Here is a 21,979-nt window from a genome sequence, read left to right on the forward strand (position 1 = left end):
AATTTTTTAAAATCCTCTGTGTGGGTTTAGGGTCCTAGACTTGTTTGCCCTCGGTTTCATTCCTGGTTCTTCTTTCCCCTCCTCTGGTCCATATCACAGGGACACTAATCCCTGCAAGCTGCATTTCCAAGCTTCCTTGTGAGCTGGTTGCCAGCTGGGTTTGAATGGGAAGCTGGAGGAGGACAGTGGAGAGCTGGAGGGTAGGAAAAGCTAGGGTGTTCCCCACCACACTGCCACACTCCAGCTCCGGCCAAGTGATCCATGACCTCTGACCCTGTGCCCCGGTATCACAGCCTCTTTCCTTTATTCTTCCATTTTGGAGTCACAGTGCCTTCATCCTTTTGAAAAATAACTGTCCCTTTTTTGGTTTCTTAGCTCTGTTCTCACCTGTTTTACAAATTTATTGAATTAAATTCTCCCTATGTTAAATACTCAGAGCAGTTTCTGTTTTCCTGGTTGGAGCCTGAATCCATATATCCCTTTGACAGGCATTACTGGACCGTATACACGGAAAATTCGATTATTCCTTGAATTTCTTTTGCTAGGAATTCTTTTTTAAAATGTGCTACTTAGAAGTGCTAATAAAGGGTTCAGTCCTCAGAAAAGCAGGATAAAACCTAGTACACTTTAAAAAATCAATTTCCTGTGGGCATAATATTAAAAATTATAAACACAAAATATTACATAACTTCTCGTAAGTCAGAACAGGGCAAATACATAGCTGAGGCTGAGACATAAATTCCATGCCAATAAGAAGGGTGGCATATAATACCTGTCAAGGCTTAATTTACATCACACATTTGTGAGGCCTACTCATTCACTAGCTTGTTTGCCAATGGTCTCCGCCTCCTCAGATCTTAAACGAGAGAAGGAGAGAGAGAAAGAAGAAGACACTTACATTACTAATTTGAAACTTTATTATATATGTGATTCCTTGGAATAATATTTTGAAATCTACATCATGTCTGTATTTTTCTTTTCCCTGTATTTTCTGCTATTGCTTCTCTCCTCCCTCTCCACCCCTGTAAGCAGATCTCCTACTGGGTGTTCATTGTCCCAAGAAGAGGTAAAAGGAAATGCAAACAAAAATGATCTATGAGTATTTATGGCTTTGTTTTATAAAATCCTAAATTCTTAAGAAAAAGAATCCAGAGTATCTGGAAGAAGCTTCAAAGGGGAAAATATTTTTCTGAAACTGTTAAAAGGATTCCCGTGGGCACATACAAGGGGAGAGAGACAGAACGATTAGGTTTCCTGAGGGAGAAACAAGGAACTAGAAGCTGATACTGGGGAAGTAGCCCAAGTAAGAAGAGGCCAGGGTACACTTGGCAAAGGAATCCCAAGAGGTTGTGGTTTTAGCATCCAGGTGTGTCACGGGAGACAAATCATCACACAAATACTACCTAGACCTTACTCATCTGTACTAGAGATTGCACTAGTTCTTCTTTCCATTGACCGGTCTTCACCCTAGGGAGCCAAAGTGACTGGTCAAGACTTGTACAGGAGCCACCAGGAGGGATCTCTGTATTTCTTTGTTCTCTGTACTTGAACAAATGTAAATTGCCACCACAGGGCACAAGCCTGCTGGAGAACAGAGCCAACACAGAGAAAATGGATCCAGGAGATGAAGATGGAGAAACTGGGTGCTGAAGACCTTTGAGCTGTTTTTGGAGCTAGACTGATCACTGGACTTTCAAATCATATGAGTAAATTTGTTCTCTTTTAGGTGAAGTTAGCTTGGATTGAATTTTCTGTCATTTGAAATAGAATCCTAATTGATACACTTGTCTCCAATACCTGTTCAAAGCCTTAGTGAGGCATAGTAAGTACAGAACTTAGCTGTTGACCAATATCAGTGCATACACATATGATACCAATTTATTAACTTACTGCTACTGGGCCAAGGAAAGGGAGTTGTAATATTATCACACGTGTGGCATGTCAGAATCAAATTGGAGTACCTGCTTTTGTTTAAACTTCCAGGGAGGATGGAACTCTTCTTACCACAGACATATTAAACCCTCTTACCACCACTACAGAAAATTCAGCAGTCAAAGCAGGAGGCATTCAACATAATAGCCTTTGTTCCCTGTATATCTTCCACCTTTTTATTGCTGCACCCCCACCTCCAGCTTTTACTCCTAGTTAACTAATAGTTGTCCGTGCTGCTTCATGCATTAGTACCTCTGCACGAGCTCTTTTCTTAGGCTGGAATGTACTTCCTAGTACTGTCTACCCTTCTAGGCCCAGCTCAAGTGCCCCAGCCTCTGAAATGTCTTTTGTTTTTTGTTTGTTTGTTGTTGTTGTTGTTGTTGTTGTTTTGAGGCAGGGTCTGGCTCTGTCACCCAAGTTGGAGTGCAGTAGTGCAATCTAGGCTCACCACAACTTCTGCCTCCCAAGCTGAAGCCATCCTCCCACCTCAGCCTCCTGAGTAACTGGAACTACAAGCACATGCCACCACACCCAGCTAATTTTCGTATATTTTGTAGTGATGGGGGAGCGTCTCACCATGTTGCCCAGGCTGGTCTTGAGCTCCTAGGCTCAAGTGATTCACCCACTTTGGCCTCGCAAAGTGCTGGGATTACAGGCATGAACCACTGTGTCTGGCCCCCTCTTCCGCGAAATTTTTTGTTTTACCTAACAATGACACAATCCTGCACTTCATACCTCCCATGCACATACTCTAAAATGGATCATTTACTTGTGTCACACTCTGTACATCCTTCTATTTCCAATGTTTTTCTGTTTATTTATCTAGCTCTTCTACTACTAGACTGAGCGCCACAAGGGCAGGAATGCTCTCCAATTCATCTTGGAATTTTTTAGGTTCCTGGCCATTAAGCTATAAATAATTATGCCTGGTGGAAATAAATAATCAAATACATTTAATGAATGGCTGTGGAAGCAAAGAGATTCATACATTTTTATAGCTGGGAACTTAGAATTCACCTAATCCTGTGAGGTAAAATATGTTTCGCAGGAATAGCAAAATTATAGATTCTACGAGAATAAATTTTTTAATTTCATCAGAACTCATCACATGATAGCATTCTGTATTTTATACTTGCATAAGTATAGTAATGTATCACAAAGTTTAAGAATCTTTATTCTTTAAATTTGTCTATCTTCTTTTTCTAAGTTAAAGACCTTCTTTCTATTCTCTTTAAGCATTTTATTCATATGTCAGAGTGCTTCTCAGATCTACACACTATTTGTGATTACATAATATTTTATTATCGCCAAGAACCCAAACATTAGTTCAAATAGTAAATAAATTCAGATACCTTAAAGAGCCAAGCTAAATATAACTGAAAAATGACTCTCCACCCATTTTATACAAACACACACACGTACATACACACACGTTCATATCCATGATCTTTAGTAATCCCACAATTTCAACATCTTTGTGTAGGAAGGGAGTTGCTGTCACATGAAAAGGTTACAGATGGATCCTATTTCTTATAGACCTGAAGGAATCTGGGCATGCTTAGAAGCAGGAGAATGAATATTGTGGAAATGGACAATAATCTGCATGAAAATGTATCCAGTTATCTCCATTTAGGATTGACTCAGTACAGACTATGTTATATTTGGGGAGATATTTTTCTTCTTTAATATGAATTGTCTTTGGTGATAATTATTTGCCCTTGAGATATATATGTAAGTAGAATCCCATAGATGATCAAGAAGAATTAGGTGGCAAATCTTCACTGCTACCAATGGGCAAGAATTGGAATGAAAACTCTACAGAGACTGTGCTATGAGAGAGTTTTTCTGTGGCATTATTTTATTTATTTTGTTTATTTTTTATTTATTTTTATTATTTTATTTTATTTATTTATTTTTATTTATTATTTATTTATTTATTTTTCTGTGCCTACCTAAGACTTTGGGAAAGGTATTGCTAAACATAATGTCCTGTGGGTTGTGCTGATTGAGAAAGGGGGCTGGACCCTCCATGAGATAAACTACCATAAAGTTTTAAAGATACATACCATAGAGAAAAGAGGAAAGATGCTTTTGAAGAGGAAGGTACATACACAATAGTGGACCTTGAGACAAGGAAGCCTGACTAGCAATCAGAGTATACTTTTAAGGGCATCTTTGTGAAAATGTTCAGTTTTTTGCTGTTCTTTAACTACTGGGAAAGTTTTATTTAGTGCAAGGGTCCCCAACCCCCAGGCCACAGACCAAGGCCTAACAGTCCATGGCCTATTAGGAACCAGGCTGCACAGCAGGAAGTGAGCAGCAGGGAGAGCCAGCAAAGCTTCATTTGTATTTACAGCCACTCTCCATTGCTGGCAGTAAGGCCTGAGCTTCACCTCCTGTCAGATCAGCAGCAGCATTAGACTCTCATAGAAGCTAGGTTCTGCACTCCTCATGAGAATCTAATGCCTGATGATCTGTCACTGTCTCCCATCATCCCCAGATGAGACTATCTAGTTGCAGAAAAACAAGCTCAGGGCTCCCACTGATTCTGCATTATGGTGAATTGTATAATTATTTCATTATTATATTTATATTATTGAATATATATTATATTCAATATATATTTCATTATATATTACAATGTAATAGTAATAGAAATGAAGTGCATGATAAATGCAATGTGCTTAAATCATACCCCCGACCGCAGGTCCGTGGAAAAATTGTCCATGAAACCAGTCCCTGGTGCCAAAAACGTGGGGGACTGTTGACTTAGTGGACAGTTTTTACCAACATAGGGAAGTGTAATCTTCTGCACAATGTTGTGACCCCAGTGTCCTACTGGGGAGAATTCTGGCAAGTAGCAGGGAAGTGTGCAGCAGCCTGCAGAGGAGCATGGAGGAAAATGCGGACTATAATTGAGCTGTGGATGCTCAGAAAACTCAGGAACAGGCAGGGAAAACAAAACAAGAAAAAAAAAGTTTGTTCTCAAGGGTATCAGAGCTTCCTGTCAATTCTACCTTTAAACACCACCCACAACTGCCACTTCTACCAAAGGGAAAAAAAGTGGCCGTTTCTTTCCTCTTCCTTTAACTTTCATTGTTTCTTACCTGGACTTTGGCAACAATGCCTATGTTGCCTCTTATCATCAGTCTCTCCCTCCTTGCTCTGGCCTGTTCCTGCTGAACACCTTCTTTATGGTTGTCTTTCTAAAGAGCCCTGAGGACAGTTGCAGTGGCTCACACCTATAAATCCCAGCAGTTTGAGGGGCTTAAGAGGGCAGATCGCTTGAGCAAGGAATTCTAGATCAGCCTGGGCAACATGGAGAAACCCCCATCGCTACAAAAAATACAAAAATTAGCTGGGTGTGATGGCGTGTGCCTGTAGTCCCAGCTACATGCTGATGGAGGATTGCTTGAGCCGGGGAGGTCGAGGCTGCAGTCAGCCATGATCTCACCACTGCACTCCAGCCTGAGCAACAGAGCAAGACCTTGTCTCAAAAACAAAACAAAACGAAACAAAAACAAAGAGCCCTGGCTCATTTCCCTTCCCAGTATTCTGCTAATACCACCTGTAAAAACCTTTCTGCCTGTTTATTGGCCTCAGGATTTCCATTGAAAGCTGCTCCTCTCATTTGAAGATTTAGGTATTCAAAGCTAGTGAATTAGGCCTTTTGTAGAACCATTAAAGATGTGTTATTTTGTTCAATTAAGAAGTGCCATTAAAGTATTTGTCATGCTAAGAGGATTCCATTTAAAGATTTACCCATTTAAAGATTACCCAAGTTTTCAGTATTGAGACAGATGGTACCACAGTAAAAGCAGTGATGTCCTTGAAAAGCTGTCAATTTTGTTTGGGAAAGTAAATGTTCATATAGTGATCAATAAGGGTTGTGGGATATGCATCTTTAATAATTCTATAATTCTGTCAGATATTTCTGGTCCTAGATGAATCTGGGTGAGGAGAGATGGTAATATGGCATCTGATAGAGAGCATGGTGAGGTTAATGAATGCAAATTTTGGATACAAATGGATTTGTCCTGACACATTAGTTGTAGAATTCATAGGCAGGACTCTTCGTCTCTACACCATATCATCATAGTTACATCACGGTCTTTATGGCACACACAGCCCACTTAATTTTCTGAAAAGTAGTTATTTACGGCATTTTCAAAAATCTTCTATGAAGTTAAGTTTATGCCTGAATTTCTAATACACATAATGGGCAGAGTTATAAATACATAGAAGAGAAATGAAGAACCTAACAACATCTCCCTGTATCCATGCCATTGTAAAGGGACCCAGATATAGCTTTGAAATCTAATTGGAATTCCTATTACCCCTCTCTTTTCGTATCTCTAGTCTATGTTGATCGAATGGATAGCATAAGGCTGGTATATAGAGTCTTGTCCTCATCTGTATCATAGAGAACTACATGACAGATGTCTTCATAAATATCATTGATATAAGATTTCTCCTATATCAACAATGACTTTTAATACATTCAACTTTGGTATTTAGTTTACATGCCTTACATTCAAGAGCTCTTCACCCACTGATGCCCACATATGCTGACAACTGTTCTGATCCCAGCAGGAGTAACAGATTTTATTTCTTAAGCATTGCAGAACTACGACCAGAGTGTTATTATTAGATGAAAGATCCTCATACTGGCTTTGCAATAGAGAAAAAAGAAAGAATTGAGATGAAAATAATCTAGGCTATTTAAAAATGCCCCACATTTTCAAAATTGTAACTGAATTTGATTTTCAAAGGCAACATATTCAAATGCTCAAAATTCAAATGATAACAAAATTTTATACAGAGTGTAATTTCTATGGTATCTTTGTTCCCCTGCCATCCAGCTCTTTCCAGTCTAAACCAATGTTATAAAATGTTTGTATTTTCTCACAGAGATAGTCTATGTATATAGAAGCACATATATGTTTGAGTATGCATCTTGTCTATTTCGTTTAAACAACTTCTCTTGGGGATAGTATAAGCACATAAAGAGCTTTTAAATTTTTTTCTGGTTACATACTATTCCATTGCAAGAATGTACATAATTTATTTCAGTACCAAGTAGATGGACACTTAAGTTGTTTCCAATCTTTTGCTAGGACAGAGGTATCCTTGCACCTATATCATTTTGCTTATGGGTAGGTATTTCTTTGGAATACCTTCTTAGAAGTAAAGTATTTTTATTAAAGGTATGTATTGTCATTTTTAAGGAATGTAATTTATTCCTTTTTAACTGTGATTTTGAAAATGCAAAGAGAGAAAAGGATAAAATTTGGAAAAATCAGTCTTCCTCATACTCCCTTTGCCCAACCACACTTTTCCTTTCCCCGGGAACAAATATGTTACCACTTCATATATATCCTTTCAGAGATTTTATACACACACATACACAGACAAACACACACACACACACACACACACACAAGCTTACACATATGCCCATGTGCACACATGAAAGTACATATAGGATAATTTAATTTGTTTGTGCAAATTTGTGTTTTCTTCTGTATTGTAGTCTACAAAAATCAGAAGGTTATTCCCAAGTTGCTGGCTGAAATGCTTCATTGTAACCACTTAAGACAGAAATATACTCTTATTGCCTCATGTGTCATCATCATTTAACGTGATAAAATAAATTCCACTAATTTTCTCTATACACATCTGTTCTGTGTGGAGGAAAGGGAGCTGTAGAAAAATAGCCCTGCACTGTACTTAGCCCCAAAATTTCTGACAAGATCCAATCTAGATTTTCTCCTGTATGCCTGTTGAAGAACAGGCACCCTGTAATCCTAACCTTCCTCTAAGGATTCCCTTCCCCTTTCTCTTGTGCGGGATATCTTGTTTCCTCCAACCCATGTAACCCTCTTTTTCTTAATGTTCTTTCCGGCTCTCTGTCTCCCTACACCCCCTTACATGCATTCTCACTCTCAGAATATATCTTCCAATAACCTCAAAGTAAGCAAGAGTGTCTGGGAAGTACATTTTTTGAGATCTTGCATTCTGAAAATCTCTTTATTCTCCCAACCCACCACTCCCTCTTCCCAACTGCCATCTGATTAATAATTTGGCCAATAATAAGAGTTCTAGGTGGGAAATTTATAGGCATTGCTCCCGTCTTACTGTTAAATCCAATGACATCGTGGTCTGTGATCTCCTTCTTTTTTTTTTTTTTTTTTTCAGTTTGTCACTGAGGCTGGAGTGCAGTGGCATGATCATGGCTCACTGCAGTCTTGACCTCCTGGGATCAAGCAATGCTCCTACGTCAGCCTCCTGGGTAGCTGGGACTACAGGCCTGCATCACCAGGCTCGGCAATTTTTTGCATTTTTTGTAAGAGACAAGGTTTCTCCATGTTGCCCAGGCTGGTCTTGAACGCCTGACCTCAAGTGATCCGTCCACCTCAGCCTCCCAGCATGCTGGCATTACAGACGTGAGCCACCCTGCCTGGCCCTCATTGTGATTTCTGACTCAATTTGTTTTCTCTCTGGAAAATTTCATGATCTTCTCTTTGTCCCCAGTGTCTGTATATATATATTTTTCCCTTTCTGAAATTCCTTTTTTTTTTTTTTTTTAAATGATGGACCTCCTGGACTGGGCCTCCAGTTTTTCTATTTCTTCCCTATTCTTTTTCATCTCATTTTGTTTTTGCTGAGAAATTTTCTCAATTTTATTTTCCAACTTACATTCTTATATATTCAAAATTTTATTTATTTTTAATGTGGCAAAATACACATAAAATTTACCATTTTTATCATTTTTGATTCAGTGGCTTATTAAGTACACTCACATTGTTGTGCAACCATCACTACCATGCATCTCCAGAACTTCTTAATCTTCCCAAACTGAAACTCTGTATCAGTTGAACAAAAACTTCAAATTCCCCTCTTCTTCAGCCCCTGGCAACCAACATTTTCTGCCTCTATGAATTTGATTACTACTCTATGTAACTCATGTAAGTGAAATCATACACTTTTTGCCCTCCTGTGACTGGCTCATTTCATTTAGCATAATGTCTTTAAGATGCATCGATGTTGTAGCATGTGTCAGAATTTACTGCCTTTTTAAAGGCTGAATAATATTCCACTGTGTGTACAGTTGGGCTTCCATATCTGTGGGTTCCACATGTAGATTCAACCAACCCCACATAAAAAATATTCAAAGAACAATGACATCTGTACTGAACACGTAAAGACTTTTTTCTTGTCTCTGTTCCCTAAACAATACAGTATAGTAACAAATTACACAGCATTTATATTGTATTAGGTATTATAAGTAATCTAGAAATTGTTTAAAGTTTATTGGAAGATTGTGTAGTTTATATGCAAATACTATGCCATTTTATTTTTTATTTTAATTTTTATTTGTTTATTTATTTAGAAACGAGGTCTCTCTCTGTTGCCCAGGCTGGAGCACAGTGGAACAATCATATTAATAGTTTACTATAGGCCAGGCGCAGTGGCTCAAGCCTGTAATCCCAGCAGTTTGGGGTTTGGGAGGCGGGTGGATTGCCTGAGGTCAGAAGTTCGAGACCAGTCTGGCCAACATGGTGAAACCCCGTCTCTACTAAAAATAAAAAAATAAAGAAGAAATAGCTGGGTGTGGTGGTATGTGCCTGTAATTCCAGCTACTCGGGAGGCTGAGGCAGGGGAATTGCTTGAACCAGAGAAGTGGAGGTTGCAGTGAGCCGAGATCGTACCACTGCACTCCAGCCTGGGAGACAGAATGAGACTCAGTCTCAAAAAAAAAAAAGTTTACTATAGCCTTATCTCTTAGGCTCAAGAGATCCTCCAGCCTCGGCCTCCAGTCCAAGTAGCTGTAGCTCCAGGTGTGTACCACTGCATTTGACTTACACCATTTTATATGAAGAACTTGGGAATCCATGGACTTTGGAATCCTTGAGAGATCCCTGGTAACCAATTCCCCCATGGATACCAAGGGACAACTGTATCACGTTTTTTATTAATTCATTTGTTGATAGACACTTGGGTTGCTTCTGTGTTTTGGCTATTGTAAATAATGCTGCAATTAACATTGATGTATCATAGTTTTATTTGTACTATTGTATATATTTTTATTTTTTGAGAGTTCTCTTGTTCTGTGTTCCATTTTTATACTTTTTTCTCTTATCAAAGCTGTAATATCTTTTCTTAGTTCTCTAAGGATATGAATGGTATGTATGTACATATATGTGTATATTAAAATATGTATGTACACATTTTTAAAATTTATTTTTCTTTGCATGGTAGCCATTTCCTCAAGTTGCATTTGATTGTTTACTTTGGTCTCCCTTTCCATGTTAGAAGTTTTCATCAGATTTCTTGTAATTCTTGATTTTCTGCTCTTCAGAATGAAAACTAAAAATCTAATTGGGAGTTCTGCATGCCTATGAGGCTCAGTAACCTTGAGCTTTACTGCAAGATGAACTGGGACGACTTTTGGGTATCCTTGTTAACAGTATGTTGATGTCTTTCCACAGGCTGTTCGGTTTAACCAAAGAAAAATCTACCTATCTCTTCCCTCAAGGGTAGAGATCCCACGCTAGAGACGGAGTGTCCTGGGTTCTGAGTGTGGAAAGGGGAAATAACAGAATGTTTTCAATAGAATATTCAGGTCTTCAGACATTTGTATCCTTCCTCAGTCCAGAAGCAGTACTGTACACTTCTCCAGAAAATAAAACCACAGACTTATGACCAAACTAGGAGAGTTAATCTCCTACTGGCATGGAGCTGGGAAAGACAATAAGGAGATGACTACATCTGAGTCAGCTTTCACCTACTCCTTCCTGTTTTAGCAGTGGTCATCCTTGCTTCATTTTCAGTTCCAGAATTATCTTGTCTTAGGATTTCTTGAAACTTTTGAGGATTCTTTTGTATTAATGGAGATGCTTCTCAGCTTTCGCCATTACCAACTTGGTTTCCACTCTCTGAGGTCTGCAAGGGCAGTCAGGTTTCATTCATCTCCTTTTCAGTTTTCAAAGCTCTGTTGCTGTTATCTCCTCTTGCTCTCATCTTTTTGTGTCTTCACAAAAAATTTCAAGATTGCTTTAACAGAATTTCTTGAAGTGGTGGTGGTTAATATTGTGCAATCCTCACTCTGAGCTGGTATAGCATAGTTCATGCTTGGTGGGAAAAGAGGTAAGGATCTTCTTGATTCACCAAACTTCCAATAGATTTAAGGATTTAGAATTTAGTTTTATGCCATTAACTTAATGTTGCCTTATTGAAAATTTTCTCATTTCCTCATCTGAAGGCAATATCTAGAAATTGGCTTGTTTCTCTACAAGGAAGACTTTAAAGTTCGGCCTTAAATCATACAAAGTACCATTCTGAAAAGCCAGTTGACATGTCAGAAGTTAAATCTATTTTTTAATGTAAAATTTGCTTATAGATACTCTACTAGAAGGAATCACTGAGAAAATTGTAGTTACTTATGATGGACTTTAAATTATAAAGGAGGGCCATGCAAGGTGATTCATGCCTATAATCCCAACACTTTGGGAGGCCAAGGTGGGAAGATGGCTTGAGGTCAGGAGTTCAAGACTAGTTTGGGCAACCCACAGAAACTCTGTCTCTACAAAAAAAATTTAAAAATTAGCCAAGTGTGGTGGTTTTTGCCTGTAGTCCCAGCTACTCAGGAGGTTGAGGTGGGAGAATTGCTTGAGCCCAGGAGGTCAAGGCTGCAGTGAGCCACAGTGGTGCAGTGAGCACCACTGCACTCCAATATGAGCAATAGAGCAAAACTCTGTCTCAAAAAATTAATTAAAAAAAATAAATGACTTGGATTGTTTGGTCCCCATTTATTAAAAAAGGACTCCTCTAGGAGGTCGTTTTGAAAAATGTATTATTTGAGATCATTACAATTGGTCAAACTCAACTAGTGTTGCAATAATCAAATGAACCTGCAAGAAAAAAATAAAAATAAAATGGCACCTGGTTATTACCCAGATATATCTGTTCTCTGTGCTTCATTTTAGTCATAGCTATTTAATTTCCTGAAACAAAAAACAAACAGATTTTTCACTAATGTCAGTACTGCAGAGCTAGCACAGGACAGAAGAGCCAGCTGTACTCGATTTCGTCTTATGCATCATCAACAAAATTGGCAGCTAAGTTCTGATTTCAGAGTCTTTATGGTTAATGATGATGTACAAGCTGTGCTTGATTTTCAGATACAAGACTGATCTTACTTTGCTGACAGAAAAATCTATTTTTGATATGTAAATTGAACAAATTTCATGCAAAATTATTGATGTAGGATAAACGCAGATCATGAAGATACCATTTTTAAGCTCATCTCTAACCCTAAAACCATTTAGGTTTATTATTATATCTTCATCATTCCTACAATTATTAGCGTTACAATGATGGCAACTAAGCATTTAACTAAAATTACATTTATGTTTTATGAATGAGTCATATATTGATAACTATTATACTCTTAAGAATGTGATTGCAATGAAAAGGAGCAACAGAACTAATTAGTAATTGATTATATTAGCAGCCCTGTTCTGGGTATAATGCTAATTCAGAGCCATGTTACAGGTGATCATGGGTAAAATCTAACATTATATAAAGAATGGTGGAACAAATAGGTGTGAAGGAGAGAAAAAATGCTTCCTTGATTATAAACTCTTTGACAATAGATATTACATCTCAGTCCCTGCTTAGGGAAGCTACTACACTTTTAAATTCATACAAGTTTATTTTATTGTACTTGCTAATGGTATACTATTGGATGTTTTTTAGAGGCAGCAATATTGGCCTTATGCAAAAGTATATAGCTATAAAATCTTGTCTTAGCTTTTTTTCATCTTGTCTCCATTTCGGAGTTCCCACCACAGATACTCAGTTCTTTTGTGCTGCCTGTTTCTTGAAGGTATTACCCGCTACCCACCTCCTGCTCAAGTTTGCCTCTCCCTTATTCCATACCTGTTACTCCTTAACCTTATCAAAACTTCCCTGTTCTTTATCCCATTCTTTTAAGATTTTGCAAGGGCACACAAGTTAAGAGCCTAGAAGTATTTACTTTTTAAAATATGTTTTCCTTTTAGGAATATAGATTTGCATTTTTAAGAAGAACTCTTGAAGACCTATTGTTAGCAGTCAAAATGTCACATCTTTCTGTCTGTCAAGAATGGCAAAAATCCATATTTTACAATAACTGGCTTTTACTTATTGATTCTACCCAGCTTAAAATGTGTTTCTGAAGCATAATGAGATAGAGATTAAGATCAAGGGCTTTGTAGTCAGACAGACCTAGTTTTGAAGCTAAACTCTATCCCTTACTGGCTGTCAGTGATGATTTACTTACCTCTAAGATAGGACAGTGGTACCCACTTCGTTGGGTTGTTGTGAGAAATAAATTCATTAATGTTAAGTAATATGAAGGGTCCAATAATTACGAACTGCTATTATTATTTATGTAATTGAAATTATGTAATTCAAACATTTGTAAAATTGAAACATTGCTTTTTATTGGTCTCAAATATAGGTCACATATATTTGTACTTGCACCCTATACAAAGGAAATGTAAACCTAAGTAAACCAAGGATATGTAAAGCATCAAGCCTTATTCAGCTTTGTTTTCCCAACAGTGTATAGCACAGACATATAATCATTGCTAAATCAATGTAGAGTTTTATTCAATCACCATGAAATGTGTTTAATAGAATATATATGTCCCATAAAGTAGAAATAGCTCCAACAAAGAAAAAAGATTTGCACACTAATGTACTTCAGTTGTATTAAACCATTCTTGTGTTTTTCTTCAGTTAAAATCAAATGAAGTATTCTCTTGAAAGATGGGACCATTTCTTTTGTCATCACTGTAACAGAAATCTCACAAGTTATAAGCAATAAACCAGTATCCTAGGGCCTAATTTACTATCAAGAAGAATATTAGATACCTTCAGATGACTAGAAAAGTGTGCCAAATTGTACCCCAGGGGTCTAAAAGACTTCATGTCTTCCTATAAATTACAACCTTGCTTATTATCGGGAAATAATTTAAACATTTGAAGAAGCTGTTTTAATAATATCAACAAAACAGTATCATTAAACAGCAGTTTTTATAATATCAACAGCTTACTATTAAGCTGTTTTAATAATATCAACAAAATATCAAATTGGACCAGAAGTGTGGACCAATTTGGTAGGGGATAATTAATGATGTCGGAGTTAAAAATCTTTCAGAAATGGGCGTGAATACCTGTTATTTAAGAATCATTAAAAATGGGCATCCAAGAAGCCATCTTCAAGTGCAAAGTTTACTTAGCATTTGAGGTAAATTCAATCCAGGGATCTTTTAAAACTGTTAATACAGGTTGAGTTCAAGCCTCTGTCATAATGACTGACTAGTGACTCTAAGTTTGTCTGGTGCAAAACACCAGTCTCTCAAAGAGACAGTTTGATGTCTCACAAAATCTAAAAGTCTGCTTGATTGAAAGCTGTATAATCATTTTTAGATATTAGAGAAAGCCAAATTAACCTCCTTAGCGACTGCATTTTAGGATATAGACATGGACTGAGTAAGAAAATCTTTCCTGTTTCCATATTTACCAGTGCTTGTGTCTTCCTTCTTTAGAAACTCCAAGTGTTTGTACCTTGCCCTTTCCCTCTTAGTTGTAGTCAACTGATTGGAGTCAACAATACGAGCATCCTGGGAAAGAAATGGTCCCAAGCCTCTAGATGAGAGCCGCATCTTGTGTTACACTGGGGCCTCTCAAAAGCAGATATTCTCACCAAAATTTCTGCTCCTGGTCAAGAAGTCACAGCAGTTCCATGTCAAGATCTTTTTTTTTTATCCCTGGCTACGACATCTGGGAGCAGCAGATGTTTGGTAGCTTCACAACTTCTTTCTTAAATGGGCAATCCTCCTTCTCCAGGAGAGTATCAAATACTCCCATTTTAACCATGTTTCTGCTTTTTACCTCACTGATCATCACAAGCCCAAACTCCATTACCAGCTCTGTTTATTACAGAGTCAAATCAGCCAAATTGAATCCACTGCCCATTTTTGTAAATAAAGTTTTACTGGAACACAACTATATCCACTTCTTTACATATCGTCTACAGCTGCTTTCACTCTAAAAACGCAGAGGGTTGGCTTTAGCTCAAGCAGTTAGACTCTCCTCATGCTAGACTCTCCATCTGTCCAATCTCCCCGCTGGGGTCCAAGACCTACAGATGCTTACTGACTCTTTAAAAACTTAATAAATAAATAAAAATTTGTAAAGTAAAAGGCAGAGTTGAGTACTTGAAACGGAGGCCATATGACCCACAAAGCTTAAAATATTTACTATCTTTCCCTTTATTTAAACAATTTGCTGACCCCTAGCCTAGATATTCGTTCTTGCACTACTATGTATATCTACTCATCTGACCTACTCTTTCACTTCTGCCATCCCAACCCCTTCCTCTCAGCCATCTACAGCTGCCAATCCATCATCAACAAGTGTGACTGCATCCTCAACATCATCTTGAATGTTCCCTTTCCTTTCTTGCTCTAGGTAAAACCTGGCTGTGCCCTGTTGAAATCAATTCTGTTGCAGTCATATGCGGTGGAATCTGTTCTTCTTTTGCATCCTACGTAACCAGACCAAGCTGTGGGGTGAGTGCTTTTCTTGTTCTCCAGTGCCATTTTCAGACCTGTTGTCTTCCTGCATCCTTCCAAACCCCAGGCTCTGTTAAAGTTGTGCCATCAGAGTTTTTTGGGTTTCTGTAAAGATGAGATCTCACTATGTTGTCCAGGCTGGTCTTGAACTCCTGGCCTCAAGCAGTCCTCCTGCCTTGGACTCCCAAAGTGCTGAGATTACAGACATGAGCCATCACACCTGGCCCTGTGCCATCAGACTTTGGCACCTATTCCCCTTCCTTGTTGCTGTCATCTAGAGAATTCAGTTAACTTTATTCTTTGATAAATTTAGCACCTGGCTCATTGGGGCTTTTTTCATTATTATTCTGATGTTATTCTCACTCACTTCCTTCTTTCTGACTTCAATGCCCACTCAAATATTACATCTAATACCTTAGACTCCAGTTTCCAGATCCTCCCACCTTACAATAGAATGATATAATTCTTCACCGACCATCAGCTATCCACTCCTGTCTAAGGTCATACTTCTGACCTTGTAATCATCAATAAGTCCATCATCTCCAGTATCTCTAGTACCAGCATCCCATTCTTTGACTATTGTCTTCTATCCTAAAAGCTCACTAAACCAAGAATATCTATACAAACAATATCTTGCCTTTATTAAGACTCTCTAATCTGGTGAGTTTATGACTGAATCACTATCAATCTGTCCTCTTCAGGTACTCCCTTCCTTATTCACTCACCTTAGACTCTGTAATACATTATTAAGCCACTGTTTGATAACACCCTTCACTCCCTTGCCTCTGCCACCCTCCTTCACCTTAGCCGAGCTGCAACCCTCTTATACCCAATGGTCCCCATGCAACAACACAACTGAACACTGGTGAAGACAAAAACGTATGCTTGCTAGCATCACTTTAAATTCTGGCTATAAATCTCAAGTGGGTAGTCAAGAGCAGTATTATTAAACCTGTAGGACTTTTGCATTCCCACTTTCCAAAATGATAATTTCACCTCATGTCTTAACTCCTTAAATCTCCTGACCCATTTTACTGTTCATAGTCTCAGCTTATAACATTGCTTCATAAATCATTGAGAAAATAGAAGTAGTTTGACAAGAATTCCCTCACCTTTCCAATCAAATATTATCTATCCTCCTCACTCTATACCTATTTTCTGCCTGCTCAATTTATTGTAGAGCAACTGTCTCTGCTGCTGTCACTGGTACACTCTCTGGTTTTACTCTGGAATTCATGCCCCCCTCACCTTATTAAAGGTTTTGTTTCTCAATTCTCTGCTCATTCTTCCCTGAATCATCACTTCTTTCCTCAATCACTCCCATTGTCATATACCAGTTCTAATAATTCCTTTCTTACACACACACAAACACACTGACAACTAAAACAATAATAATAGCAAAAAGAGCAGCAAAAAGACCTTCACTTCACCTTCCATCCTTTTCCAGCGGTCTCCTGTGTCTCAGCTTAAATGTTTTCCCAGGGGGTCTTCCTCGTCCACCCATTTAAAAGTAGCAGCTCAGTTATTTTTTATCATATTATTCAATTTGAAGTCTCTTCATTGCATTTATCACTCTCTTATGTGTGTATATGTTAATGTTTGTTTACTGTTTTTCTCCACCTCCCCCCATATTACATAAGCTCTGGGAGTGCAAGTGTCTTCTGTCTTTTCATGTCTGTAATCTCAGCACACATGATAGGCGAAGAAAGTCCTCAATAATAATCTTTGAGTGAGTGAACGAATGAATGAATGAATGACTCTGTGTGTGTGTGTGTGTGTGTGTGTGTGTGTGTGTGTGTGTGTGTGTCTACAACTAGACCATAGGATTCACCAGGGCAAGGACTTTGTGTCTTATAAGTCTTTGTAGTTGGTGTTTAATAAACACTTGTTGCATGAGTGAGTGAATCATTGCTCTAAATGAGCAATAATCTAAAGATAAAAGTTATTAACATGATGTTCCGCTTTTAAAATTTGCATTGGCATTTTTACTTTAACAAAATCAAAATGATTTCTTTTAGGATTATACTAATTCCTTTTAAACTAGTGCTAATTTGTGTGACTTATCCATATGCATCTAAATTAATTTTTCTAACTTTAACTAGAGCTTATAAATAAATAAGTATACATATATGTATGTAGATGGATGGCTATATATACACCTACCCACACATATATAAAACATATGTTAGTCCTGTTCTAAGGATCTGCCAAACTTTCTTGGTAAGACTTGCCAATTGCAATCATGTGACAGGATGACAGTTCTCTTCTCTGGGAGAAGTCCAGACTTCCAGTGTCTGGGACAGAAATAATGTAGACCAAGAAACATATATAGCTGATGATGGATGATTTTTGGCTCTCATAATGTGAGGTTTGGTCTTCTTATTGGGAGACTATGAAAATCATTAGATCAGAAATTATTTTTATTTCTACTCAGTTGAAAGAAGTTTTCCTTCTAGTATTTCTGTATGCAGGCATACTGCAAAGACAATTTGCTTGGTCAATATGGGTTTATACTAAACTCTACAACTCAAAGATAGGATGAGATCCTTTTGCCAGTGTAGCTGTCTTATTTTTATTGGCATAGTGACTGTGTGTCCAAATATACACCAATTATAGATGTTTTCCTGTTGTCAGTAATATGGTACTGTTTAAGAGTGAAGACGTTTTCACTCTCAGGCAAAACTGATTCTGAGGACATGACAGGGATACTTCAGTGATTGCATTTATGCGCACAGAGGAGGTTAACAGTTAGGAATGCTTTCAGTGGTAAGCAACAAAATAATTAGCAGTGCTTCAACAAATTGGGGCTCAGTGGCTCAATGACATAAAGAGTGCCATCTTTGCAATTCCAATGACCTTCCTGTCAAAGTCGAATGATGGCTGCAGTGCAAAAGTGTCCTAGCACACCTGTCCTAGCAAGTGTGCTTTTGCTAGGTCAGGTGTGCTAGAAGCAGGAGGTGGTGTGGACAGGTGAGTTTCTCTTTTTGCTTATATTCTCTTATCAAGGAGATAAAAACACTTATCCTCCAACAAACTCCTCCAACAAACTTCCCTTTACATCTTATTGCCTCTTAATTTGTCCCATGACAGTTCCTAGACCAGCTGCCGAAGCTACCTTTCCTGAGAACTAAAATCCTTGCCTGATTTCTGAACAAATGGGGCCTCCACTTGAAAGAGTGGATAGAGGAATGGTTTTTGTGATGGCAAGGAATAGAGCCTGCCACAGCGGGCTAACAACCACACTCATGAAGTTTCATGGAGGAGATCTTGCTTATGTTGAATTCAACAGAAGCCGACAGGTAATACAGTTGAGAAAGGTTGAAAAGGCAGAGAGAGAGAGCTGCTTCTGCAAGTGTATTGAACAATCAAAGGCAAATAATTCGTTACAGCTGGGCATTCTGTACATGTAGATTAGTGAGAGATGACTGCAGAGGTCAGCAGACCTCGTGCCATAAAGACAACATGGAAGCAGGGAGTCAAGTTCTCATACCTTTGGGCATTCATTCTGAAATTGCTAAAGAAGCAAATAAATGTCTGTCTGGGCTTTCCCGCCATACATGACTGAGAATATCCAGACATTTCTCTATATTAAAGAAAAAGGAGAGAGCAGTCATTACTTAGAATGTCTTTTTGTGCTTGCGCGCACGTGCTCTCTCTCTCTCTCTCTCCCCCTAGCTAAACCTTGGCTGGGGAGTTTTCTGCATTTTGCTAAGCTAGATTGTACTCAATGGGTTATAGAGCCCCAGAAGATTTTTCAGCTACACTTCGCCCACTAAAACCTTTGGAGAAAAGAGGCTGAATGCTTGCAGTGAAACTAGTCCTGCTACCCTAATCATTGTTGATCAGGCCAAGAAACCAGTACCTGAACCCAAATTTGTCCCAGTAAGAACTCACCATATTGGGTAAAGACAAACCAACAAAATTAGATCTCCTCACCTTGAGAAGGGAAACTGAATGAGAGATGTATGCTAGAAATGTCAGTAGCAGAAGCAACGTGCAGAGGAGGAAGGAGAGAGGGCAGAGGAGGAAGGAGAGAGGGCAGAGGGAAAGAGCTAGAGAGAAAAAGAAAAAGAGGAAAGTGAACAACAGCTGGGCTCTGGAAATTAACATAATAAGTCTCTGGCTATTGGAAACTGAGGAGGAAAAAAGAACACAGAAAGTGTCAATCAACTCTCAGACAATTCTTTAGTGACATGGACCATATTATCATGATTATCTTCAGTTCATAGGAATCATTAAATCTATTCCCAAAATGCAATCTAATATTCTCCCAAGGAATATAATATATTCAAATAAAATTATTGACAAAGGTTACAATCGTAAATTATTTATCAGGTTGAATTACTCCCCACCTTCCAGGGAAGTCTCAGGTTGAGGTCTTTGGAAATAGTCATGCCACTGTTTCCTCTTTGAGTTTATGGTTAATGGCACAGAGAGAAGTCTTTTCTTCCCTGGGTAGTTCTGAGTAAGAAAACAATAGTCAAACTTGAATGTAATCACTGAGGCAACAAGAGAAAGAAAAGTAATGTTTAGTTAACAGAACTGCAGACCGGAAGAGACAGGATTCATGGATCTGCCAAGGTGAGGAATACAGCCTGAAATGCAAATAGAAGCAGATTGGAGAACAGGAAAGAAACTTCTGGAGAAAGCAGGCAAAGGGACCTGTTCCAATGGAAGCACACTTTATGTCTCCCAGAATAGTAGTTCCCCATCCTGGCTTCCTGTCAGAATTACCTGCAGTTCGTTTCAAAAAAAACACATTTCCAGAACTTGCTCAATTCCTGCTGAATCAAAATATGACTTTTTATGCAGCTGGCCTGTCACCTACACATGATGAACTTTTTCCTGTCCAGAGGAAAATATCCATGATGATGGCAAAAGTCCTTTCTTGAGAGCTGTCTTTTATTCTCGGACTAAGGTCATCTTAATTTTTTATTATAATATTCTTCCTTTTATGAAATTGTTATGACAAAACATGATGAGGTTTTTTTTAATGTTCTTACTTAGCAAAATAAAAATTAGCAAAACTATTGCTAGGTCTATGACCTTGGATGGTTCACCAAAATCACCATCACTAGTTCCTGATTTTAAAATCAGAGTAGTAAAACCTGGCTGGGCACGGTGGCTCACACCTGTAATCCAAGCACTTTGGGAAGCCAAGGCAGGTGGATCGCCTAAGGTCAGGAGTTGGGAGACTAGCCTGGCCTAACACGGTGAAACCCTGTCTCTACTAAAAATATAAAAAGTAGCCTGGCGTGGTGGCGAGCACCTGTAATCCCAGCTACTCCGGAGGCTGAGGCAGGAGAATCACTTGAACCCGGGAGGCAGAGGTTGCAGTGAGCCGAGATCGTGCCATTGCACTCCAGCCTGGGTAACAAGAGCGAAACTCCGTCTCAAAAAAAAAAAAAAAAAAAAAAAAAAAAAAGAGTAGTAAAACTTAACAGCATTGTTTTGTGTAGATTATAGGAAATAACATGTATAATACAACTGGTACATAAGAAACACCCAATATGTTCTCTATGTTATCAGGTAAAATACTTTGGTTTGACTCTTGTTACTCAAATGATAGGATGATTTACTGTTTCAGGTAAGTGAAACGTCTTGACATTGTGATTGGCGTCCAGTCTCCTTCAAACAGGACTCTGCTTTTCTATGATTCTTTCTGTTGTCCCTTCCACTATGTTTTGTATTTGCCTCTGGTCTAGCTTCTCAAGGTAGCCTCCAGGATGCACAGAGTGAGAGAGGATGCTTTTCCCTAAACCAGGAACAAAATTCCAGCCCTAAGGAGATTGGACCACTCCCGACCAATGAGTTTGGCCAGGGAGGTCATGCACTGATTGGCTCAGCCCTGGATCAGTCTACTTCTCAACCAATCAAGGTGCTAAGGAAACAGGATTACCCTAAACGATTTAACACACCGGGACTCATTCCTGAAGCTGGAGATGCTGTAACACAATCAAAACTGTAAGGCTTAAAAGAATTAAAGTAGGAATTGCCGCAATTCCCTTCCTAGACTTATTCCCAAATATACTTACTATGGACTACCTGCATACAGCAGCCCCTTCACATATTTTTACTGCCTGTCATAAAGTAGTCTGGGTTACATTTAAAGAAGCTGCCAGCACTTAATGCATAGAAGTACTAAAAATTTGTTACTGATGTTTGAAAAATATAGAAAATTAGAAGCGGAATGGCTGAGTGTAGTGGCTTACACCTGCAGTCCCTACATGTTAGGAGGCCAAGGCAGGAAGACTGCTTGAGGCCAGGAGTTTGAGACTTGGGCAGCATAGCAAGGCTTTGTCTCTACGAAAAATTGAATAAATGGATAAATAATAAAAGAAAAGGAAAGAATAAAGAAAATTAGAAGGGGAAGAAGCCTCTTATCCCACCAGAGAGTGTAAATGATTATTAAAATTTAA

The 21,979-nt window shown here is 38.5% G+C and overlaps 1 long non-coding RNA gene across 2 annotated transcripts; it reads left to right on the forward strand.

Annotated features, from left to right (window-relative positions):
* Nucleotides 1-1,572: 1,572 nt before the first annotated feature.
* On the forward strand, nucleotides 1,573-21,751 carry LOC124906082 (uncharacterized). 2 transcript variants are annotated; one of them, XR_007088690.1, is made up of 3 exons: nucleotides 1,726-1,822; nucleotides 9,722-9,773; nucleotides 15,457-21,751. It is a non-coding gene; the product is annotated as an uncharacterized LOC124906082 (long non-coding RNA). The 2 variants fall into 2 exon arrangements; XR_007088691.1 differs by lacking the exons at nucleotides 1,726-1,822; nucleotides 9,722-9,773 and adding an exon at nucleotides 1,573-1,706.
* Nucleotides 21,752-21,979: the final 228 nt, after the last annotated feature.

The sequence above is a fragment of the Homo sapiens genome, chromosome 2 (assembly GCF_000001405.40).
Source record: "Homo sapiens chromosome 2, GRCh38.p14 Primary Assembly".
Lineage (NCBI taxonomy): Eukaryota > Metazoa > Chordata > Mammalia > Primates > Hominidae > Homo > Homo sapiens.